Below are 25,503 nucleotides of genomic sequence, written 5' to 3'. Positions count from 1 at the left end.
ACTCTTCTCTCCCTCCACAGATGAGTTTGCTCCACTTGAGGATACAGAGCACCCCGGCAGCAGGTATGAACGAGCCCCCTCCCTCCCTGCCGACCCCCCCCTCACCTCCCCTTGCACCTGGATGCAGGCAGTCCAGCCCCCGCCCCCTTACTCTGTTCTCCTTCGTCTCTCCTGTATCTGCAGTCACTCCCATCCTACTGGCACCTTCCTGTCAATAACGCCCTCTCCATCAAACTACCCTCTCTCTTGTTGCGCCCAATAGCTCTCAGGGGGCTGTCTCCACTCCCCTTTCTCATCCCTTCCAGTCACTCACTTCCCCATCCCTGCACTTTGGCTTCTGCTTCCTCTAAAGCAGCTCTCTCCACATCTCTCTGATGCACTGCTAACTGCCAAATCCAGTGGATACTCAGTGTCCTTTGTTCTGAATGTTTTACAGATATTATCTCATTGGGCCGGGCGCGGTGGCTCACGCCTGTAATCTCAGAACTCTGGGAGGCCGAGGTGGGCGGATCGCCTGAGGTCAGGAGTTCAGACCAGCCTGGCCAACATGGTGAAACCCCGTCTCTACTAAAAATACACAAATTAGCTGGGTGTGGTGGCGGGCGCCTGTAATCCCAGCTACTCAGGAGGCTGAGGCAGGAGAATCGCTTGAACCCAGGAGGCGGCAGTTGCAGTGAGCCGAGATCACACCACTGCACTCCAGCCTGGGCGACAGAGTGAGATTATCTCAAAAAAAAAAAAAAAAAAAAGTATTACCTAGTTGAGCAAGACTATGTGTTAACATGAAATAAAATGATACAGGCCAGGCACGGTGGCTCAAACCTGTAATCCCAGCACTTTGGGAGGCCGAGGTGGGCGGATCACCTGAGGTCAGGAGTTCGAGACCAGCCTTGGCCACACCAACATGGTGAAACCCCATCTCTACTAAAAATACAAAAATTAGTCAGGCATGGTGGTGTGCACCTGTAGTCCCAGCTACTCGGGAGGCTGAGGCAGGAGAAGTGCTTGAACCCAGGAGGCGGAGGTTGCAGTGAGCTGAGATCATGCCACAGCACTCCAGCCTTGGAGACAAAGCAAGACTCCATCTCAAAAAAAAAAAAAAAGGAAAGAAAAGAAAATGATACAACAACCTAGCAAGATAGGCATTATTTACCCCCCACCTTTTACAGATGAGGCAACTGAGGAACAGAGAGGTTAAGTATCTTATCTAAAGTCACACAGCTACATGTGATGGAGCAGATGGCTCAGAAATCTGTGCTCCTAACACTCCCCTCTGGCACCTCTCTGCCACCTTCACTTCTGATGTTCATTGCCTTCCTCCTAATTTTTGTGTCCCCAGCACCTGGGATAGGGTCTGGCTCCCAGAGGCTGCTCAATAAGTGTTGTGGACTGAACTCACTGAATGCTTGTGGTGCACCCCTGTCCTCAGGGAAGTCATGGTCTAGGGGAGGAAGCAGACAAGTGACTGAACAGCAGCCACCAGTGTGCTCTGTGGGACATTTTCAGAGGCCTCCAGGGACACAAGGAGGAGAAGATGACAAGAGTGATGGAGAATAATAATAGCACCAGCCACACCAGAGTGGCCACTGTTTGTTGAATTCTAATATGCACCAACAACTATGCTAAAAAGTTTACATTATCTCATTGAGTCTTCAAAACAATCCTGTGAGGTAGGCATTATTTTTAAGCTCAGTTTAGAGATCAAGAAACCAAAGTTCGGAGAGGTTCACAGGGAAAGCTAGTGGAAAAGATGGAGCCTCCAACCTGGGGCGGGGTGTCCGGAAGGCGTTCCAGAGGTGGTGCCTCCTGAGCAGGGTTTTGAAGCACCATTGGGAACCAGTCAACTGAAGAAGAGCACAGGGGTGCTCCAGGGGGAGGACACAGCAGCTACAAAGGCCCAGAGGCCAAGAGCCTGGGCCCGTCAGGGAACCTCAGACAGCTGGGTGGGCCGGAGCTCAGAGAATGAAATGGGGACTGGGAAACCTGAGGCTTTCATGGGAAGCAGGTAGAGAAAAAGGGAGCCTGGCAAGGCCACTGGGAGGAATTTCAGCTCCATGGACCAGAGGCTTTCAAGTGGTGGTGTGTGTGTCAGAACTGCAAAACTGCAGCCTTGAGCCTCCCTCCCAGGTAATGTGTATCAGTAGATCAAGGACAAGGTTCAAGAATTTTTGTTGTTTTTGGTATATGCCTCATTAAGACTCAACTATACTTAACAGCTTTATGAAATATAATTCACATGAATACACTGTACATATTTAAAGTATACAACTTGATAAGATTTGACATATGTTTACACCCACGAAACCATCACCAAGACCGTGAGCTTCTCCTTCATCCCCAGAGCTTTCCTCTTGTTCTTCATAATCCCTCCCCACCTCATCCTCACTGGTTGGCTTTCTGTCACTACAGATTAGTTTGCATTTCCTAGAATTTTATACAAGTGAAATCATACAGCATGTATTCTTTTTTTGTCTGTCTTGTTTCTGCAGCATGATTATTTTAAGATTCATTCTGAGGTAGGCACCACATTTCTATCAATAGTCTGTTCCTTTCTATTGCAGAATAGCATTCCATTGTATGGATGTGCTATAATTTATCCATTTACCTGTTGAGTGACAAATAATGCTGCTATGAATATTTGTGTGCAAATATTTTAATGCACATATACTTTCATTTGTCTTGGGTAAACACCTCAGAGTAGGATGGCTGGATCATAAAGTATAACTTTTTGAGAAATGCCAAGTTATTTTCCAATATAGTAGTACAATTTTACATCAACATCAGCAGTGGATGAGAGCTCCAATTTCTCCACATTCTCAACAACACTTGGTATGGACAGTCTTTTGACATTTAGCCTTTCTGATAAGTACACAGTGGTATCTTACTGTGGTTTTAAATTTGATTTCCCTGATAACTAATGATAATGAGCATCTTATGTTCTAATTTGCCTTCTTTGAAGCATCTGTACCACTCTTTTGTCCACTTTTAAGTGGGATTTTTTGTTTTCTTATTATTAGATTTTGAGATTTCCATATTCTCGATACATATCCTTTATCGGATATATGAATCCCAAATATCATTTCCAGACTGTTGCTTATCTTTTTGCTCTCATAACAATGTCTTTTGAAGAGAAGTTTTTAACTTGATTAAATCCAATTTATCAAATTTTTGTTATTTATTTATTTATTTATTTATTTATGAGATGACATCTTGCTCTGTCACCCAGGCTGGAGTGCAGTGGCACGATCTCAGCTGACTGCAACCTCTGCCTTCTGGGTTCAAGTGATTCTCCTTCCTCAGCCTCCTGAGTAGCTGGGATTACAGGTGCATGCCACCACGCCCAGCTAATTTTTGTATTTTTAGTAGAGACGGGGTTTTGCCGTGTTGGCCAGGCTGGTCTCAAACTCCTGACCTTAGGTGATCCACCGGCCTCGGCCTCCCACAGTGCTGGGATTACAGGCATGAGCCCACCGTGCCAGCCTCAAATTTGTTTTTATAGACTGTGCTTCTGGTGACATAGCTAAGAAATCTTTGCCTAATATGAGTTTACAAAGATTTCCTCTCATGCTTCTTTCTAAAAATATAGTTTTAGGATTACAATTAGGTCTTTGATCCATTTGAGTTAATTTTTGTATATAGTACAAAGTACAGATGTAAGTTATTGGTTTTGTGGGGTTTTTTTGCATGTGAATATCTAGTTGTTCTAGCTTTTGTTAAAAAGTTGTCTTTTCTTAGCACCTTTGTAAAAAAAATCAGTTGTCCATATATGTGTGAGTTTATTTCTGGACTGTTTATTCAGGCTGTTTATTTTCTTTTATTGTTAGCTATATTTATGTCAGACAAAATAGATTTCAAGACAAAAACTGTAAGAGGAGACAAAGGTGGTCACTATATAATGATAAAGGGATCAATTCAGCAGGAGAATATAACAATTTTAAATATGTAGCACCCAACATGGGAGCACTCAGATACATAAAGCAAACATTATTAGAGCTAAAGATAGAGCCCAATACAAAAATATCTTGAGACTTCAAAACCCCACTATTAGCATTGGACCAATCTTCCAGACAGAAAATCAACAAAGAAACATTAGATTTAATTTGCACCATAGACCAAATGGACCTAATAGATATTTACAGAACATTTCATCCAGGGGCTACGGAATACAGATTCTTTTCCTTAGCACATGGATCATTCTCAAGGATAGATCATATATTAGGTCACAAAACAAGTCTTAAAACATTCCCAAAAATTAAAATAATATCAAGCATTTTCTCTGACCACAATGGAATAAAACTGGAAATCAATAACAAGAGGATTTTTGGAAACTGCACAAATATATGGAAATTAAACAATATACTCCTGAATGACCAGTGGGTCAGTGAATGAATTAAGAATAAAATCAAAAATTTTTTGGAAACAAATTATAACAGAAACACAACATACCGAAACCTATGGGATACAGCAAAAGCAGTACAAAGATGGAATTTTATAGTTATAAGTGCCTCAAAAAAATAAGAAAAACTTCAAATAAATAATGATGCATCTTAAAGAACTATAAAACCAAGAACAAATCAAACCCAAAATTAGTAGAAGAAAAATAATAATAAAGATCAGAGCAGAAATAAATGAAATTGAAATGAAGAAAACAATACAAAAGATCAATTTAACAAAAAGCTGTTTTTTTGAAAAAATAAATGAACAAACCTTTAGCCAAAGAAAAAGGGAGAGAAGACCTAAATAAATAAGATCAGAGATTAAAAAGGAGACATTACAACTGATACCACAGAAATTCAAAGGATCATTAGTGGCTACTATGAACAACTATGCACCAATAAATCAGAAGATCTAGAAGAAACAGATAAATTCCTAGACACGTGAAATCTATCAAGATTGAAACATGAAGAAACCCAAAGCCTGAACAGCCCAACAACAAGTAATGAGATTGAAGCTGTAATAAAAAGTCCCAGCAAAGAAAAGCCCAGTACCCAATGGCTTCACTACTGAATTCTACCAAACATTCAAAGAAGAACTAATCCCAGCCAGGCGCGGTGGCTCACACCTGTAATCCCAGCACTTTGGGAGACCGAGGTGGGCGGATCATGAGGTCAGGAGATCAAGACCACCCTGGCTAACACGGTGAAACCTCGTCTCTACTAAAAATACAAAAAATTAGCTGGGTGCGGTGGCGGGCGCCTGTAGTCCCAGTTACTCGGGAGGCTGAGGCAGGAGAATGGCATGAACCCAGGAGGCAGAGTTTGCAGTGAGCCGAGATTGTACCACTGCACTCCAGCCTGGGTGACAGAGCGAGACTCCGTCTCAAAAAAAAAAAAAAAAAAAAAAAAAGAACTAATCCCAATCCCACTAAAACTATTCCTAAAAATAGAGGAGGGAATACTTCCAAACTCATTCTATGAGGCCAGTATTACCCTGATACCAAAACCAGAAAAAGATACATCAAAATAAGAAAATGATAGGCCAGTATCACTGGTGAATATTGCCTCAAAAACCCTCACCAAAATACCAGCAAACCAAATTCAACAACACTTAAAAAGATTGCTCATCGGCCAGGCACGGTGGCTCACATCTGTAATCTAGCACTTTGGGAGGCCAAGGCGGGTGGATCACCTGAGGTCAGGAGTTTGAGACCAGCCTGCCAACATGGTGAAACCCCATCTCTACTAAAAATACAAAAATTAGTCAGGCGTGGTGGCATGCGCCTGTAGTCCCAGCTACTCGGGAGGCTGAGGCAGGAGAATCGCTTAAACTCAGGAGGCAGAGGTTGCAGTGAGCCAAGATAGTGCCACTGCACTCCAGCCTGGGCATCAGAGCAAGACTCTGTCTCAAAAAAAAAAAAAAAAGATTTTTCATCAAGACCAAGTGTGATTTGTCCCAGGGATGCAAGAATGGCTCAACATACACAAATCAATTAATGTGATACATCATATCAAAAGAATGAAGGACAAAAACATATAGTCATTTCAATTGATGCTGGAAAAGCATGTGATAAAATTCAGCATCCCTTCATGATAAAAACCCTAAAACAAAACTGAGGATAGAAGGAACATACCTCAACATAATAAAAACCGTATATGGGCCTGGCATGGTGGCTCACGCCTGTAATCCCAGCACTTTGGGAGGCTGAGGTGGGTGGAACACCTGAGGTTAGGAGTTTGAGACCAGCCTGGCCAATATGATGAAACCCTATCTCTACTAAAAGTACAAAAATTAGCTGTGCATGGTGGCACATACCTGTAATCCCAGCTACTCAGGAGGCTGAGGCAGGAGAATTGCTTGAACCTGGGAGGCGGAGGTTGCAGTAAGCTAAGATTGTGCCACTGTACTCCAGCCTGGGTGAAAGAGCGAGACTGCATCTCAAAAAACAAAAACCTATATGACAGACCCACAGCTAGTATCATACTGAATGGGGAAAACTGAAAGTCTTTCCTCTAAGATCAGGAACACAAGGATGACCACTTTCACCACTTTCATTCAACATAGTACTAGAAGTCCTAGCTAGAGCAGTCAAGAGAAAGAAATAGAGGACATACAAATTGGAAAGGAAGAAGTCAAATTATTCTTATTTGCAGATGTTATAATCTTATATTTGGAAAAACCTAAAGATTCTACCAAAAACTATTAGAACTGATAAACAAACTCTTGGAAGTAAAGTTGCAGGATACAAAATCAACATACAAAAAATCAGTAGTGTTTCTATATACCAATGGCAAAAAATCAGAAAAAGAAATCAAGAAAGTAATTTTATTTACAACAGCTACAAATAAAATTAAATACCTAGGAATTAACTTAACCAAAGAAGTGAAAGAACTCTACAATGAAAATTATAAAACATTGATGCAAGAAATTGAAGAAGACAAAAAAAAAAGGTAAAGATATTCCGTGTTCATGGATTGGAAGAATATTGCTAAAATGTTCATAATACTCAAAGCAATCTATAGATTTAATGCAATCCCTATCAAAATACCAATGACATTCTTCACAGAAATAGAAAAAACACTCTGAAAATTTATATAGAACCACAAAAGACCCAGAATAGCCAAAGCTATCCTAATCGAAAAGAACAAAACTGGAGGAATCACGTTATCTGATTTTAAATTATACTATAGAGCTATAGTAACCAAAATGTCATGGTACTGGCATAAAACAGACACATAGATCAGTGCGACAGAATAGAAAACCCAGAGATAAATCCATACATCTACAGTGAACTCATTTTTGACAAGGTGCTAAGAGCATACCTTGGAAAAAGGATAGTCTCTTCAGTAAATGGTGCTGGGAAAATTGGATATCCATATGCAAAAGAATAAAACTAGACCCCTGTCACACACCATATACAAAAATCAAGTCAAAGTGGATTAAAGACTTAAATCTAAGACCTCAAACTATGAAATTACTACAAGAAAACATTGGGGAAACTCTCCAGGACATTGGGCTGGGCAAACATTTCTTGAGTAAGAACCCATAAGCACAGGCAACCAATGCAAAATGGACAAATGGGATCACATTAAGTTAAATATCTTCTACACAGCAAAAGAAACAATCAACAAAGTAAATAGACAACCCATAGAATTGGAGAAAATATTTGCAAGCTACCCATCTGACAAATGATTAATAACCAGAATATAGGCCAGGCGCGGTGCCTCACGCCTATAATCCCAGCACTTTGGGAGGCTGAGGTGGGTAGATCACCTGAGGTCCGGGGTTTGAGACCAGCCTGGCCAACATAGTGAAAACTCATCTCTACTAAAAATACAAACAATTAGCTGGGCATGGTGGCGGGTACCTGTAATTCCAGCTACTTGGGAGGCTGAGGCAGGAGAATCGCTTGAACCTGGGAGGCAGAGGTTGCAGTGAGCTGAGATCATGCCATTGCACTCCAGCCTGGGCGACAAAAGTGAAACTCCATCTCAAAACAAAACAAAATAAAACAAAACACAAAACAAAACAAAACCAGAATATATATAAGGAGCTCAAACAACTCTATAGGAAAAAAATCTACTAATCTGATTAAAAATGGGCAAAAAACCTGAATAGACATTTCTCAAAAGAAAATATACAAATGGCAAACAGGCATATGCAAAGGTGCTCAGCATCATTGATCATCAGAGAAATGCAAATCAAAACTACAATGAGAAGTTAAAATAGTTTTTATTCAAAAGTTAGGCAGTAACAAATGCTGGTGAGGATGTGGAGAAAAAAGGACCCTCATACACTGCTGGTGGGAATGCAAATTAGTACAACCACCATAGAGAACAGTTTGGCAGTTTCTCAAAAAAAACAAAAGTAGAGCTACCGTATGATCTCGCAATTCCACTGCTGGGTATATACCCAAAAGAAAGGAAATCAGTATATCCGAGATAGCTGCACTCCCATATTTGTTACAGCACTATTCACAATAGCCAAGATTTGGAAGCAACCTAACTGTCCGTCAACAGATGATTGGATAAAGAAAATGTGATACATATACACAATGAAGTACTATTCAGCCGTAAGAAAGAGATCCTCTCGTTTGCAATGGCATGAATGGAACTGGAAGTCATTATGTTCAGTGAAATAAGTCAGACACAGAAAGACAAACTTCTCATGTTCTCACTTATTTTTGGGAGCTAAAAACTAAAATAACTGAACTCATGGAGAGAGAGAGTAGAAGAATGATTATTGGAGGTTAGAAAGGGTAGCAGAGGCAGGGAGGTAGTGGGGATAGATAATGTGTACAAAAAGATGGAAAGAATGAATAAAACCTTGTAGTTGCTAGCACAACAGGGTGACTATAGTCAAAAATAACTTACTTGTACATTTTAAAATAACTAAAAAACTATTGTTTTGTAACACAAAGGATAAATGCTTGAGGAGACGGATACCCCACTTTCCCTGATGTAATTGTTACGCATTGCAGGCCTATAGCAAAATATTTCATGTAACCCATAAATATATAGACCTATTATGTACTCACAAAAATTAAAAACGAAAACATTTTAAAAAGAACCTTACAATAGTAAATATTTCCATTTCCCCACTCTCAACATTTGTCTCGTTATGCATTTACTTTTACATGTTATAAATGCCATGTTGCATTGCAATTATTTTCATGTTAACGGTAAATTATCTTTAACAGAATTTCAAATAATATTTAAAAATCTTGTTTACCATGCAGTTACCATTTCTAATGTTTTTAATTACTTTCCATTAATTCATGATTCCATCTGGTGTCATTTTCCTTCTGTCTGACCAAGTTCCTTTAGTGTTTCTTATAGTGTGGTGTGCCAACTAAGAATTCCCTCAGTTTTTATGTATTTTTTAAAGTTCTTATTTTGCTCTTGCTTTTGAATGATCTTTTTGCTGAGATATAAACTCTAGGTTGACAGACTTTTCTCTCTTTCAGTCCTTCAGAGGTGTCATTCTTGTTTCTTTTCTTTTTCCTTTTTGTTTCTTCTTGTGGCTCCAGCTCCTGCTGCTTTTTAAAGTTTTCGTTTATCTTTTTTTTTTTTTTTTTTTTTTTTTTGAGACTGAGTCTCACTCTGTTGCCCATACTCAAGTGCAGTGGCTCCATCTTGGCTCACTGCAACCTCTATCTCCCAGGTTCAAGTGATGCTCCTGCCTCAGCCTCCCAAGTAGCTGAGATTACAGGTGCCTGCCACCATGCCCAGCTAATTTTTGTGTTTAGTAAAGACGGGGTTTCACCATGTTGGCCAGGCTGGTCTGAAACTCCTGACGTCAGGTGATCCACCTGCCTTGGCCTCCCAAAGTGCTGGGATTACAGGTGTGAGCCACCGCACCTGGCTTAAGTTTTTCTTTATCAAAAGGTTTGAGCTCTTAGATTATAACATGCCTTGATATCATTTTCTTCATGTTTCTTGTATTTGGGGCCCATTGGGCTTCTTCAATCTGTAGCTTCATATTCATCATTATTTGTAAAACACATTGTATAAATGTTCAATCTTTTAAAATGTATTACACTTGAAAACCAGCATATGGTCTATCCTAATGAACGTTCCATGGGTTCTTGAAAAAAAAAAATCAGTATTCTACATACAGTTCTTGGTGTCAAAGTGCCTTATAATGTTGTTCAGATCTTTATCCTTACTACTTTTGTTCTAACAGTTTTATCAATTACTGAGAGCATAAAAACCATAGTTGTAGGGCTAGGTGGTAGCTCACACCTGTAATCCCAGCACTTGAGAGGCCAAGGTAGGAGGATCACTTGAGCCCAGGAGTTTGAGACCAGCCTGGGCAATATAGTGAGACCCCATCTCTACAAAAAATGGCAAAATTAGCTGGGCATGGTGGCATGTGCCTGTAGTCCCAGCTACTCAGAAAGCTGATGCAAGAGGATTGCTTGAGCCCAGGAGTTACCAGGCTACAGTGAATTGTGATTGTGCCTCTGCACTCCAGCCTGGGCAACAGATTAAGACCCCGTCTCAAAAAACAAAAACAAAAATAGAAACTATGGTTGTGGATTTATCTATTCCTCCATTTATTTCTGTCAGTTTTTGCTTCATGTATTTTGAAGCTCTGTTATTACCCACATTCACATTTATTATTATATGTGTTAAAAATTTTATCATTCTTTTATTGTCCTCATGAACTGGACCCACTTTTTGTAATGAAGTGTGTTTATCTCTGATAATACTTCTTGTCTCAAAGTCTATGTTATCATCAGATAATATGGCCATTCCAGCTTTCTCATAATTAGTGCTTTTGCCTAATCTCTATCCTTTTACTTTTAACCTATGTCTTTGTGTTTTTAAGTATTGCTTGTAGACAGCAGAAAATTAGCTCTTATTCCTTTAACCAGTCTGATAATTCCTGCCATTTAATTGAAATGGTTAGTTCATTTACATTTAACATTACTTTAATACATTTAACATGACTTTAATGGCCATTTTGCTATGTGCTGTCTATTTGTCCTGTTCTTTTTTTCTGTTTTTCTTGTCTTTTTTGTGGTTAATTTTTTTTAGTATTCCATTTTAATTACTTTATTGGATTTTTCCTATTTCCAACATTTTATTTTGAAAAATTTCAAACGTACTAAAAAGTTGAAAAGTTTTACAACTTTTAAAATTTGTATACCCCGTACTTTCTTTGTAAACCTGCTTTCACTTAAAAAAAAAAAGTTGTATTCCCCATATACCCACCATTAACATTTTCTACACCTGTAGAAAAGACCTCAATTGGTCAACTCATCTTCCTTATTGGTGCCTTATATCTTTATTTAAACAGAGTAGAGGCAACTACATTTGAAGAGTTGCATTATAGAAATGTAATTCCTAGAACATGGGAAGTGAGAGTCTCATCTTTACATATTTATCAGGCCTTACTGTGAGAGGAAACAGGACCATCTGGACTGTGTCCAGAGGGAGTGACCAGGCACATATAGCAAGCGAACAGGACATACAGAAAGAAACATTTATAAATCATAGCCTTGCAGCCCCGTGGTGGTGGGGTAGGGGCAGGTGGCAAGCTGTTTGTGAGAGAATCCAGGCATCAGTGTTAAATGGATGCTCCAGGGAAACGAATGTTAGTTCTTCAGTAAAAGGAAGAACTAACAGGAAAAGGAACCATACATGAGCAAGACTTCCTTAGGAGAGAGTAAACTTCCCATCACTGGATGTATGCAAGCATTCTCTCATTCAACAGATGTTTATTGAGCCTTTTAGGTTCAGACATTGGGCTAGGCACTGCAGATAGAGTGGTGAACAAAACAGGCAGGGGTTCTTTGTCTTCATGGAGGAGGTTAGTATTAAACAATCCCACAGATAAATACATAACCATCAATGGTGATTTATGCTGGAGATTGGCTATGGCAGGAATTGGAGAGCAGGAGTAAATGCTTTCTGACTCTGAGACTCAGCAGTGTAGAATCACGGGAAGCACTACATAAGTGGTGGCTTTTATTATTATATTATCATTAACATTATCATTTGTTTTATTATTCATTCATTTCACATTTTCCGAGCACTCACCTTGGGCTGTGCAAGGAGATGAAGCTGCAAGGGATAGAAGCCTTGCCCTCCAAGTGGAAGGGCCATCCAAGGGCCATGATTAGAAACCAGGAGTCCCTGGAGGCACTGTCCGCCTAGGAAGCGGTAAAGGAAATCCGGGGGTGGGAGTGGGGACGGGGGGCGGGGGTGCTTCCTGGGACAGTGGGAGTGAGTTGGATCTTGAAGGAAGAGTGGGAGGAGACTTGAAGGATCGAAAGTGGGCAAACTGTTGGTATCAATTCCCCTCACACTCCCCTTCAGATCTCCAGGAAACCTGACAAATGCGAGGTGTCCCCTCCTCTCTCCAACCCCTTTCCCCTTCTCCTTCCTCTACCCCTTCCCACTTGGTGAGGGTTCAGCTCAGCTGGGCCCCTTAGCCAATTAACACTCTTTGCATCTGAAAAGCTCAAATCGGCTCCTCAGAGGTGTTAGAGATCAGAGTAATTAAGGTCTCTTTCTAATGCAAATCTAAACCAGAAATTGGATGTTTGTCTCCTTGGGAAATTAGGGTCCCCAGTTCTACCAGGAGCTAGTCAAACTCAGCAGGGGGAGGTGATGGCTTCAAGAAGCCAATTTATTTGGATGCTCTCCAGAAATATTTGATTCAATTAAATCAAACTGACTCCACATGGCAGTGAGAGTGATCTTTAAAGCAAAATCAGATCCCAACTCTCCCCTGGTCTTTGATTCACTCTAAATAAAGTCCAAGCCCCTCACCACAGTCTTGAGACCCAGCCTAATCGGCCCCTGCCTTTCCTCCAGCCTCATCTCAGGCCCCTTTATTAAGTGCTTGTCACACTTTGTGATTATTTTATTTACTGGCTGCCCTTCCCCACATCATTAAGTAAATACATCCCTGTTGTTGTTCACCCTGGAGCACAATATATAAAGTTGTCCAAGTGAAAAACAGCTCCATTGCAAATCAGCACTTGCAATTTGGAATGTGCCCTAGAGCCATTCAGAGGAGGACTTGTATTCAAAACCACCTCAACACCGTCTTTCCCTTCTCTGCCCTGTGGCACTAGCTGTCACTGACCTCTAGTTCTATCCTGGGTTCCCTTTTCTGGAGGATAACTGCTCATCTCTTTGAGATCCACCTCAGCTTCCTGAGTACTCTTCCTATATGGCTACTAAAAACTAGCCAAACATATTCTCACAAACACACCCTCCCAATGCAAAGGAAATTCCTCCAGACATAGAAACAGACAAAGAGAAATAGTGTTTAACTAAGTCATTTATTGTTCTTTTTCCTGTCTCCCCAGTTGGAATACATGCTTCAGGAAGGCAGGGACGTGTGTCTATCTTGGTTACCATCCTATCCACAATGCCCAGAGCAGTGCCTGACACTTGATGGATGTTCTAGAAATCTGTTTTAAATACATGGATTTTTCTGAAACTGCCTATGTATAAGCATGGTGTCAGCACTATGGGTGCAGAGGAGGACAAACCCAGATTCAGCCGTCAATAGCTCATAACCTAGTGGGGAGACCCCCTAGAGCCAATGACTCCTTTGTTGACTGAGCACTTGTGTCCCCCCTACAGTGGAGTCACACCATAAGTTCAAGACATAAGCAAATTCCACCATATGAGTTTGGGGGAAAGAAAAGCAGCAAGAAATGACCATCTTCCCAAGGTGGGCAATTCCACTCAGCAATTACACCCCAAAATGGGCACAAAGTGGGAGACATGAATTGAGGTCTCTCCATACAGAGGGGAAAGGCTGTGCAGACACAAGGGCATGAGGCCACATGCCAGGATAGGCATTGGAGAAAAGGAAAGGGAGAAGAGAGTAAGTCACAGTGGTAGTGATAACTAATAGCAGCTGCCATTTATTGAGTGGTTACTATGTGCTGGCTGAGTATCATGCTAAATGCTTTATGCACATGTACTGTGTGGTCCTCACAACTACCTGGAGTAGAAATACTCTTATTATCAAGAAGTTGATTGTAGCCACATTATGGAGGGCCTGCGGCATCATGTCAGAGAGACTCGAGTGTACTGATGGGGTCGGGGAGGAACAGGAAGTGTTTCAGATTTGGTTCTTAGATTTAGGCTGCAACAAAGGGATCTAAAAGCCCAACCTTCTGCACCAGGTGAATTCACCCTCAAGTCAGTCTAAACTGACATCCTCATGGGAGATTCTAGTGTCCAGGAAGGCCCAGAGACCAGGGATGGCTTGAGAGGTTGACTAGGCCAGCAGATGGTGCAGAGGAGATCAATTCACAGCCCTCTCTCTTGTCCCAGCCTCACGCACTCAGGCTCTCAGAGGAAGCTGGTTAGGGATCCTGGTCTGAGCCCTTAATATGCAGAGGGAAGACTGAGGCTTGGGAATGAGAAGGGACCCACCTAGGGTCAGTGGATGCATGAGGGAGCAGCACATGGAATAATTCTTCCAAAGTTCTGGTAGCAACTTTCTCTTTTTCTCCTAGTTCATTTTTCTCCAGTGACTCAGGAATTGCAGATCCGATGTCAATGTCGTCTTCCCCTACTCCTCCTTCTTCTCCCCACCTACCCCAGCAGGACAATCAAGGGTGAGAAGACAATGAATACTGAAATCTTTTGTCTCCCAAAAGGTCACAGTTCTGCAGACAGAAAAGCAGTCACCATTTCTCGGGAAGATGCTGTTTGCCTCAATAATGTTAGTCCCTTGGTTACGCTAGTCCCTTTTAACATAAAATAAAAAGAACAAGAACCAAGTTTCTCAGCTGTCAAAGCCTTGTCCCAAGTATCCCCTCATTGGACTCACACAGTAGCACTGAGAATGAGGCAGCACAATACTTGTCCTTCCAGTGCACGAAAAGGAAACTGAAGCATAGAGAAGGGAGGGGCTGTTCAAAGTCCTCCCTCATCCCAGGTTTTCATATGCCCAGGACGGTGACTTGCCATTATCCCAGACTGCCTCATTGAGTTTCTCAGCTCACTCTGACATAAAACCTAGCAGGGACACGGGTCCAGTCTTTCTGGGCAGCAGTGCTAACAAGATGTTCCAGGAGTTTTTACAGTGCTCATATATTTTAATCCTCTCCTGGAAGTCTAGCTTAATAAAATCATTTGAAAATAAGCAAAAACCAATGCAAAAGGATGCCTTCCCAACCCAGATACTTATTCTGGGAGAACTGTGAAAAATTGGATGCAACATAAATAGTCAACAATAGGGTGTCTCCATATGATGGGAAATCGAGCAGCCATTAAAAATGGTATTTGTGAATAATTTTCATGACATGGCAGAAATGCCATTAAGAAGTATAGCTTCAGGCCGGGCGTGTGGCTCATGCCTGTAATCCCAGCACTTTGGGAGGCCGAGGCAGGCGGATCACGAGGTCAGGAGATGGAGGCCATCCTGGCTAACACAGTGAAACCCCATCTCTACTAAAAATACAAAAACAAAATTAGCTGGGTGTGGTGATGGGCACCTGTAGTCCCAGCTACTCGGGAGGCTGAGGACGGAGAACAGTGTGAACCTGGGAGGTGGAGCTTGCAGTGAGCCAAGATTGCGCCACTGCGCTCCAGCCTGGGCGACAGAGTGAGAATCCGTCTAAAAAAAAAAAAAAAAAAAAAGTACAGCTTCATTCAAAAGTATAGAATATATGCATGCATAAAAGAAGACATGGAAGGAAAATTATGACAATGTTAGCAGTGGTCCCTCTGGTTGTTGGGGTAGTAGGCAAGCATAGCTTCTCTTTTCTGAACTCTTTACAAGTTTATTTATTCAACAACTGTCTATTATGTCTATTAAGCATTTTCCAAGGCCAGGCCCAGTGCCTGGCCTTGGGGATCTTATGGTGAACTGTGGAGGCCAATTATCTGCCATCTGGAGCCTGTGGCCCAGTAGGGGTGACAGAAAGTAACTAGGCAATCATAGATCCAAGGGATAAAAGCCATGAAGTGGCCAGTACAAGGTGGCATGGGGTGACATAGCAAAGATACATATCTCTGCTTTTATAATTGAGGAGTGTTAATCTTTAAAAGGCTAACCCGCCATAATGAAGATGTTTAAATATTTTAAAGAGCTCTGCAACAGCAGAGGCAGCTGGTAGGGGAAAGGCCTGTGCGGGGAGAAACCCCTGGCCAGCCCCTTCCTTTCTCTGTGTGGTGGGGACCAAGGATGGAGGACTAAGCATCCCTGCTTTATATTGCAACACCATTTTTGCAAGTATTCCTCAAGGGACAAGATTCATCCAGCCAGAAAGCAGTGGGATTTGCCTCCTAGCAGGGGCCAAGCTACACCTGACAGTATCCAGGGTCATTTTCTACCACCCAAGGGTACAGAGACAGGCCTCTAGTTAACCCCTGAGATGCTGGACTTCTCAATGCCTGTAACACTCTGGAAAGAGTTTACAAGTGAAGAAGTTCCTCACAGGAGGCAGATGCACACAGCAGCAGGGCCCTGAGGGTCCTGGAGGTATTCGCTCTGCCCCATCATCTCATCAGCTACCCATTCATAGATTATCTTGCTTTGGGGTAAGACATTGCCTTGCATCTCTTCCTAGTGGATGAGTCTTCTGGAAAGATAATATTCATTTTACATATGTTTTTGGAGTTCTTTTTTTTTTTTTTTTTTTAATCACATATCACTATAGCTCTTGCTACTCTCTATCAAAAGCTTGGGCCAAAATGAAATCATGTCATTCCTGTTTTCCAGCCCCTGTACTGGAAATTTACTCACACTGTACCTTCTCTCTGGAGTTCCTTTGCCCATCTCTTTGTGTCCAAATCCTACCACTTGGTCAAGGCCCAATTCAGATGCTCCCTCTTTTCAGGTCCTCCTTCATTTAATCATCAAGCATTATTGGTGTCAGGCACTGGGTTAGGCACTAAGAGTACATTTACATTAAAGCTGCCCTTGTCCTAAAGTAAATCAGTCTATAGGTGGGAAATATGGGTGATATAGTCTGGTTGTGTCTCCTTACCCAAATGTCATGTTAACTTACAGTCCCTGTGTTGGAGATGGGGCCTGGTGGGAGGCGACTGGATCACGGAAATGGATTTCTTATGAATTGTTTAGCAACAACTCCTATGTGCTCTCCTTGCAGTGAGTGAGTTCTTGTGAGATCTGGTTGCTTAAAAGTGTGTGGCACCCCCTCAACTCTGCTGCTTCTGCTTTCATCATGTGAAGTGCCTGCTCCCCCTTTGCCTTCTGACATGTTTGTAAGTTTCCTGAGGCCTTTCCAGGAGCCAAGCAGATGCCAGCATCATGCTTCCTGTACAGCCTGAAGAACCGTGAGCTAATTAAACGTCTTTTTTGTTTGTTTGTTCATTTGTTTTTGTGGCTGGAGTGCAGGGTGCGATCTTGGCTCACTGCAACCTCCACCTCCTGGGTTCAAGTGATTCTCTTCCCTCAGCCTCCCAAGTAGCTGGGACTACAGGCCCCACTACCATGCCTGGCTAATGTTTTGTATGTTTAGTAGAGATGGGGTTTCACCATGTTGGCCAGGCTGGTTTCGATCTCCTGACCTCAAGTGATTCACCTGCCTCAGCTTCCCAAAGTGCTAGGATTACAGGTGTGAGCCACCATGCCCAGCCTAAACTTCTTTTCTTTATAAATGACTCAGTCTCAGGTGTTTCTTTATAACCATGTGAGAATGGACTAATACAATGGGCAAAACTAAAAGGAAATGAACATACTTCATAATACCATGTCATATATGGTAACAATAGATTTATAGATATACATACAGATAGATATATAGATATAGATATATGGCATCCAAACATCTCAGAAAAGTGGGTATGAGTTACTTCAGGGGAGAGGAGAGTACATTGATACAATGCCTGAGCTGGGTTTTGACAGATGAGTAGGAATTTCCTAGGCAGACAAAGGAGAGGAGAATGGCATTCCAGGCAGAGGGCATACCAGGTGCAAAGGCATAGAAAGGTGAACCAGCATGATGCATTTGAAGAGCTACAAGTCATTTGGGGTCATTGCTAAGGTATAAAGTAAAAAGGGAGATATGGAGGCACCAAGAGAAAAGTAGCAGGGCCAAGATGGTGGAAGATTTCACCTGGATTTTATGCCTCAAGCCACAGGGGATCAGTGGACCAGTGCTGGAGTTTAAATAGAAGAATGAGGCATCAACTTCCGCCATGTAATAAGCAACCTCAATGTCAGTGGCTTAAAGCAACAATCAGCATTTATGGCTTATGCATCTGGGGTTGGCTGGGGCTTAGCTGATTTGGGCTGGGCCTTGCTGAAGTGACTTGGCTCTTCTCCATATATGTCTTGTCTTCCTCCTGGAACTGCTGGGCCAGCCTGGGCATGTCTTGCTCATGGCAATGACAGAGGCACAAGAGCACGGAAAGAAACATGCAAGGTGTCTTGAGGCCTGGGCTCAGAACTGGCACGTTGTCACTTCCACCTCATTCTGTCCACCAAACAAAGTCACATGACCCAGTCTAGATTCAAGAGGAGGGGAACCAGTGAGAGCTCCTGCCAAGTCATATGACAAAGTTCATGGCTATACGGAGGACTGGAGAGTCAGGTCCATCCATGCACTCTACCACAAGCCATGTGATCAGGTCTCTGCATTAGGTCACTAGGTAGCTATGTGGAGGGTGGATTACAGGGGATAAGGCAGTTTCAGAGATTCAGGCAGGAACTGAACAAATGCCCTAGGATCTCACAACCTGCTCTTTCTATCTATTCTATGTACTGGGATTTAGCCAGATTACACAAAAGGAAAGCTTATCTTTGGCCTTTTGTTCAATTCTAAGAACTCAGCCTGAGCACTTTGGTGCTTGCACCAGTGCATAAGAAGGCTTTGAAATAAACAGATATTCAATAAACTAGTGAACAAGAGTTTTCTTTATCTTGGAATAGACATCTCTGAGACAAAAACGGACCTGAGCTGCAATATTGGATAAGCCCCACTGATCACAAGAAAACCTAACATAGGTAATTGACTATTGGCAAATGCAACAGAACCAAATAAAGCAAATAATTAACAATTATTGTACTCAGAGGTAAAGGAACTACAAATCTAGGCTGCCTCGGCATTTGTCCTAGGCATCAATAAGAACAAAGTGTTTGTTAGTGGGTGAGTAACCCAGGTGTGAAATTCATTTTATTAGACCAGATCTAAAAATAGGCTTGAACCAGAGAGTGGAAAAGAACACAATTTATCCCCACTTGCTCACTGGGGCACCCAGGGAATAAATTAAAGGCGCTGTTTTTTGTTTACAAAGGGGGAATTGTGGTAGATTGTTTGCAGAAATGACCACAGTTACTTCCCTTTCTGTGTCTCTGCTACTTTGCAGATGTGACTTTGTAACTCTTCCTATCAAAAGTGGTGTCCTCAAGTCTTGAGTCTGTGACTAGTTTTGGCCAATAGAATGTGGCAGAGGTGACACTGTACTAGTTCCAAGCCCAAGCCTCAAGAGGCCTTGCACACCGCCACCTGCTTTCTTGGGACCCTTGTCTTCATGATGTGAACAAACCCAGGCTAAGCTGCCAGCGGATGAGAGTTCATGAGTCAGGCCAGTTGTCCCAGCCAAGACCTTAAACATACACAAGAGCTCAGCCCAAACTAGCAAAACCAAACTGCAGCTGCCCCACATCTAGCTACAAAAGCAAGAGGAATTCTAGCTGAGTTCAGAAAACCTGCCAGCTGAGCCCAGCCTAAACAGCCAACCTACAGAATCTTGAAGTAAATACATGGTTGTTATTTTAAGCTACTAAGTTTTAGAGTGATTTGTTACACAGCAAAAGGTAACTGATATCGGAGTATTCTGGATCAGGCCAGGTGCATTGGCTCACACCTATAATTCCAGCACTTTGGGAGGCTGAGGCAGGCAGATCACTTGAACTCAGGAGTTCAAGACTGGCCTGGGCAACATGGCCAAACCTCATCCCTACACACATACACACAAATACAAAAATTAGCCAGGCTTGGTGATGCATACCTGTGGTCCCAGCTACTTGGGAGGCTGAAGTGGGAGGATGGGTTGTGCCCGGGAGGCAGAGGTTGCAGTAAGCAGAGATTGCACCACTGCACTCCAGCCTAGGTGACAGTCAGATCTTGTCTCAAAAAAATAATAATAAAATAAAAAGGCCAGGTGCAGTGGCTCATGCCTGTAATCCCAGCACTTTGGAAGTCCAAAGCAGGCAGATCACCTGAGGTCGGGAGTTCTAGACCAGCCTGACCAACATGGAGAAACCCCATCTCTACTAAAAATACAAAATTAGCCAGGCATGGTGGCTCATGCCTGTAATCCCAGCACTTTGGAAGTCCAAAGCAGGCAGATCACCTGAGGTCGGGAGTTCTAGACCAGCCTGACCAACATGGAGAAACCCCATCTCTACTAAAAATACAAAATTAGCCAGGCATGGTGGTGCATGCCTGTAATCCCAGCTACTCAGGAGGCTGAGGCAGGAGAATCGCTTGAACCCGGGAGGCAGAGGTTGCGGTGAGCCAAGATCATGCCATTGCACTCCAGCCTCGGCAACAAGAGCGGAACTCCATCTCAAAAAAAAAAAAAAAAAAAAAAAAAAAGTTTTCTGGATCAAAACAGCTAGAAATACACCAGAAAAAATTATGACAACTGCTACCAATTACTGGGCATCTACTTACTGTATACTGAGAAACTTGTGTATCTAAAACTGTTAGGTACTTCACTTACATCACATTAACTCATCTTTGAAACCCTGCAAAATAGAGTTATTTTCACCATTTTGTAAATGAGTACATGAGGAAACTGAAGCTAGGGAGACAGTTTAAGTAACTTGCCCAAGGTCACACAGCTACTGTGTAGGTTTGCAAACATAGTCCTAGACGAGTGGGGCCTCTCAGAGGCTGAGAGAAGCCTGGGCCACTTCCAATTTTTAAGGTGCCTAACATACTGATAAATGAAGATATGAAGAAACAATTACCAAAATTGTGATATACAGTCAGTCATGCATCGCTTAACGGTGTGGGATATGTTCTGAGAAATTCATCCTTAGGTGATTTTGTTGTTGTGTGAACATCATAGAGTGTACTTACATAAACATAGATGGCAGAACTATGTGCCTAGGCTATATGGTATAGCCTATTGCGCCTAGGCTACAAACCTGTACAGCATGTGACTGTACTGAACACTGCAGGCAACTGTAACAGAGTGGTAAGTATTTGCATATCTAAACATAGAAAAGGTACAGTAAAAATACAGTATTATAATCTTGCGAGACCACCATCAAGCATGCAGTCCTTCATTGACCAAATGTTGTTATGTGGTGCATGCCTGTATTTTAAATCTTTACATTTATCAAATGAGCACTTTCAATATAAAAAAAGAAGGCAATGAGATATTGCTAATCACAAGATAATTCCAGTATGTATTTTAAAAGCATATTAATTTATAAGGTACTACAAATGGTGTGGTTCAGTAATGGGATGCAAATGTTACTTTGGTGAACATTTCCTACTTTGATCTGGTGAATGTACCTCTCTGATGGGACATATAACTTCCTTTGGAGGTGCTATAGTTCTATCTGTTTGACCCCTCAAAATCTCATGTTGCAATTTGATCCCTAGTGTTGGAGGTGGGGCCTAGTGGGAGGTGTTTGAGTTATGAGGGCAGATTCCTCATGAATGACTTGGTGCCATCCTCATGGTAATGAGTGAGTTCTTGCTGTATTAGTTTCCTGGAGAACTGGTTGTTAAAAAGAGACTGGTACCTCCTGCCCCACCATGTGATCTCTGCCCACACAGGGCAGCAGCATCTGCTTCTGGTGAGGGCTTCAGGTTTTCTCATGGCAGAAGGTAGAGGGGAGCCTGAGTGTGCAGATATCACCTGGCTAGAGAGGAAACCAGAGAGGGGGAAGGAAGCACGATGTTTCTTGTACATCCTGCAGAACCATGAGCCAAATTAACCTCTTTTTAAAATAAATTACCAAGCCTCAGGTATTCCTTTATAGCAACACAAAAATGGGTAAAGACAGGAGATAACATCAAAAGATTAAATATAAGCTCTTTCATGAGGTCAGGCCCAGCCATGGGGCCCACCTGGCCATTGCCTGACCTCAGCCCAGCCCCCATGAAAGGCCTGAGCATGAGCCAAAGGAATTCATCCTATAGCATCAAGCAGCCCTCAGCTGAGAAATGAGCTCCCAGAGAGGGTTCTTATGGAAACAAGTCTCTGCTCTCATCAGAGAATTGAGCCATCTTTGTTTTATGTCACAAAATGATTATATTCTGGGATGTTTCACTCCATTGTGTCCAGGCTTACCCTGAACCAAGAAAAGTAGAGATTCACCAACATTGCCAGTATAGACGTAGAGAAAGGGATAGGAGATGCAGGGCTCTATGTGGTTCAGAGGGTTGAGAAGGCATCTCAGAGATTACTCTGTGGCTCAATCTTGGAACATGAATAGGAGTCTGCTGGGTGGAGAAGATCATTACAGGTGGCTGGAATAGCACTGGCAAAGGCATAGGGTTAAGAAAGCACGCGGCAGACATGGGAATGGTACAGAGGCCAGCGTGACTGTAGCCAGGGGTGGGTGGGGAGAGTGGAAGCAGACAGAGCTAGAGGAGAGATTGGGGAAATACTGGAGAGAGTGTTGTACCTGAGAAGGCCCGGCCAGGTCTCTCTCCCTTGAGGGATGCAGTCTTTTGCTTCCAAAGAGTAATCTCAGCCCTAGAGTGCAGCTGTGTGCCCAGAATAAATCCCTGTGGGATGCATTCCATCCACTCCTTGCAGCAGGTCTTTTCAAAAGATTTCAGCAGCCTCTTGTTTGCCTATAGCTCTTATGCAAGCTGCTGCAGGCCAGGTGTTCCTTGGAGCCTAAATTCTGCATTTCCCATCTGTATCATTTACAAACCAACCTGGATATCTCCCTGCTTCTAGACAAATCTGAGGTCTTTTACATAGGTCAATCTGTTGAGAAAAGAAAAATGTAATGAGGTTCCGGCCAGGTACAGTGGCTCACTCCTGTAATCCCAGCACTTTGGGAGGCTGAGGCAGGAGGATCACCTGAGGTCAGGAGCTCAAGACCAGCCTTGCCAACATGGCAAAACCCCGTCTCTACTAAAAATACAAAAATTAGCCAGGCATAGTGGAACACACTTATAATCCCAGCTATTTGGGAGGCTGAGGCAGGAGAATCGCTTGAACCCAGGAGGCAGAGGTTGCGGTAAGCTGAGATCACGCCACTGCACTCCAGCCTGGGTGACAGAGCAAGACCCCAGCAGAAAGAAAGAAGAAAAGAAAGAAAGAAAGAAAGAGAAAAAACAGAGAGAGAGGGAGGGAGGAAGGAAGGAAGGAAGGAAGAAGAAAAATGTAATGAGGTTTTGAAATAACAAAGTCAGTTCCCTGATAATTTTACAGGCTTGAGAGTAAAGAAAGGCCAAGAAGGTTGGTTTGAAGGCAGAGAACAACTAAGGTGGCCTAGAATCGTCACATCTTGGCACCTAGAGCCATCAGGGTTCTCTGAGACCATCTGGTCCAAGGACGGCAAATATATGGCACATGTGCCATCCTCCCCACATCTGGTGTCCAGGGCAGATGTTGTTAATCTATTGCTACACACTTTTTAGCCAAGCATCTCCCCATCAAGCACATTCAGCTCATAAGTGAAAGCCAATTGATCATTCCTGATGGTTTCCATTACCCCCATTTCATAGATGAGAAAATGGAGGCACAGGGAGGTTAAGGGGTTTGTCCAAGGAGAGCTTTCAGTTCCTCCCCACCATTTCCACATGGTTTGTGGAAGACAAACACTTTTATGCCTCAACTGTAATAAGGGAATGAGTCCAGCACCTGGGATAGGGTTTTAAAAGCAACAAAATTTTTTTCCATTTCCAGTTCCAGTTGTTATATGACAATGCTTTGAAATGTATATTTTTATTATCATAATAAAAGAACACATAAACAGTTAGTAAGTTGTGTCCACACACTTAATAAAGGCCTAAGGAATTTATTCATTCACCCAAGGGCCAGGCAGTGTACTGGGTATTGAGTTTATGAGGACACCAAAGACATCCCAGGGGCCCAGGGAACTGAAATGTCCAAATCTGATATTCTGCTTAGTTGGGAGAGGTGAGAGCTGGCCTCACAAGCAGGTACAGTGCAACTCCCTTCCCAGGGATGAAAAGGACCCAGAGGTTCCACACATGCCACCCCTCACTCGGTCCTCTATACAATATTTTCTAGAGCCCCTGACAGGCCCCTGTTCACACACCTCCAGGGATCACTACTTCCCAAGACTGCCAACTGTATCTTCAGCTGGTTCTACCCACTACAAATTCTTCCTTTTGCTGAAAGGGAATGAGCCTCCCCGTGACTTCCACCAAACTGGCCCTGCCTTTGTCCTGTGAGGAACTAGTTTTCCGAGGACCTAAGAGAGAATGTTGTGGGGGAGGGGTCTCTTGTAAGAGAGAGACAAAGCCAAGAGGAAAGGAAAGGCACTAAAACCATCCTTCCCAATTTACCGTGTGGCAAGACCATTTCCTATCCCCACGCATAATTCTTAAGCATATCAGTGGAACATCATCTTGCCCATTCTGCCCTGGTACATGCTGAGATCCTCGTAAATCCCAGCTCCTGCCGAAGACCCAAAATGCATTGTCTATGGGATCCTGTACAAGAGAGCTGGTTGCTATGGTAACAACTGGAGGTAAATTTCCTAGCACCCCCAACTAAACTATTAATCAGAAAGATGAGGAAAGAGTCAGGGTGGTCAATAAATTAGGGAAGAAATTGGCTCCTACCGGGAAGCACACAGAGCAGGGCCACCCCACCCCACCCCACCCCCACCCCCACCCCCACCCCCGCTGAGGCCTCACTCTTCCCTCCCTTTGATCTTCTGATGCAGGAGGAGAAGCAGCCAGAGCCTGAGGGGAAACCTGCCTCCATTCTCCTCTCCAACTCTTTGTTTCTCATCCTGGTGGAGTCAGAGAGGTTCCCAAGTGGAAGCTGCACCCGGCATCTCATCAGTGAGGGCCCCAGTTAGCAGGAACATCAAAGGTAGAAATGCTGGAACCTGAAAAAAAGAATGCTCTGTCCAGCTTGAAAGAAGCATTCTACTGAAGTGTGGTGATAAGATCCGGATTAGAATCAGCATTGATGGATCATAGAAGGATTAAAGTGACAGGGTCCCAAATCTTCACAAAACGTTTGCAGATTTGTTTGTTTGGGTTTTTTCCAAGGACTTTATCTTCCTTGCTTTAATGTTTATCCTTGGCTGTCTTAATAAGGAGTGGTATGGAAAACCCTTGTGATGCCTCCTCCAAGTGAACTAGATCCACCAGTTCTCATCATGCAGCCCTCTGCTGCTGTGGGGGGAGGGGGTGGGCAGCTTGCTCTAATTATAGGAAACACTCCTGGGAGAAAACACACCCTTTGCACACAGAATCCTGCAAAGGGAATGTACATTCCTCTCTATTCTTTGGTACAATCTCTCCCAGGGTTGCTTTTTAGATGGCATTGTGCCTCCCTTGTTCCCCACTTTTCTTGTCCAAGGATGCCATCCTTGATTAAGCCCACCTTTCTCATAGAAGGAAAAACGGGGGATTGTCCGGGAAGGATC

The 25,503-nt window shown here is 42.9% G+C and overlaps 1 long non-coding RNA gene across 1 annotated transcript, besides 2 other annotated features; it reads left to right on the top strand.

The window, feature by feature from the left end:
* Positions 1 to 25,088, top strand: LOC107987064 (uncharacterized). Its single transcript, XR_001746667.2, has 2 exons — positions 1 to 63; positions 24,790 to 25,088. It is a non-coding gene; the product is annotated as an uncharacterized LOC107987064 (long non-coding RNA).
* Positions 12,281 to 13,161: an enhancer, noted in NCBI's record as "OCT4-NANOG hESC enhancer chr9:38213884-38214764 (GRCh37/hg19 assembly coordinates)". NCBI's record gives its function as "activates a minimal SCP1, AML or CMV promoter by ChIP-STARR-seq in naive and primed H9 embryonic stem cells {active_cell/tissue: H9 hESC(naive and primed)}" and the evidence as "EXISTENCE:reporter gene assay evidence [ECO:0000049][PMID:30033119]".
* Positions 14,950 to 15,150: a silencer, noted in NCBI's record as "peak7237 fragment used in MPRA reporter construct". NCBI's record gives its function as "represses an SCP1 promoter by STARR-seq MPRAs in K562 erythroleukemia cells {active_cell/tissue: K562}" and the evidence as "EXISTENCE:reporter gene assay evidence [ECO:0000049][PMID:32103011]".
* Positions 25,089 to 25,503: the final 415 nt, after the last annotated feature.

This window comes from Homo sapiens, chromosome 9 (genome assembly GCF_000001405.40).
Source record: "Homo sapiens chromosome 9, GRCh38.p14 Primary Assembly".
Taxonomy (NCBI): Eukaryota; Metazoa; Chordata; class Mammalia; order Primates; family Hominidae; genus Homo; species Homo sapiens.
This window is presented reverse-complemented; position numbering and strand designations above follow the sequence as displayed.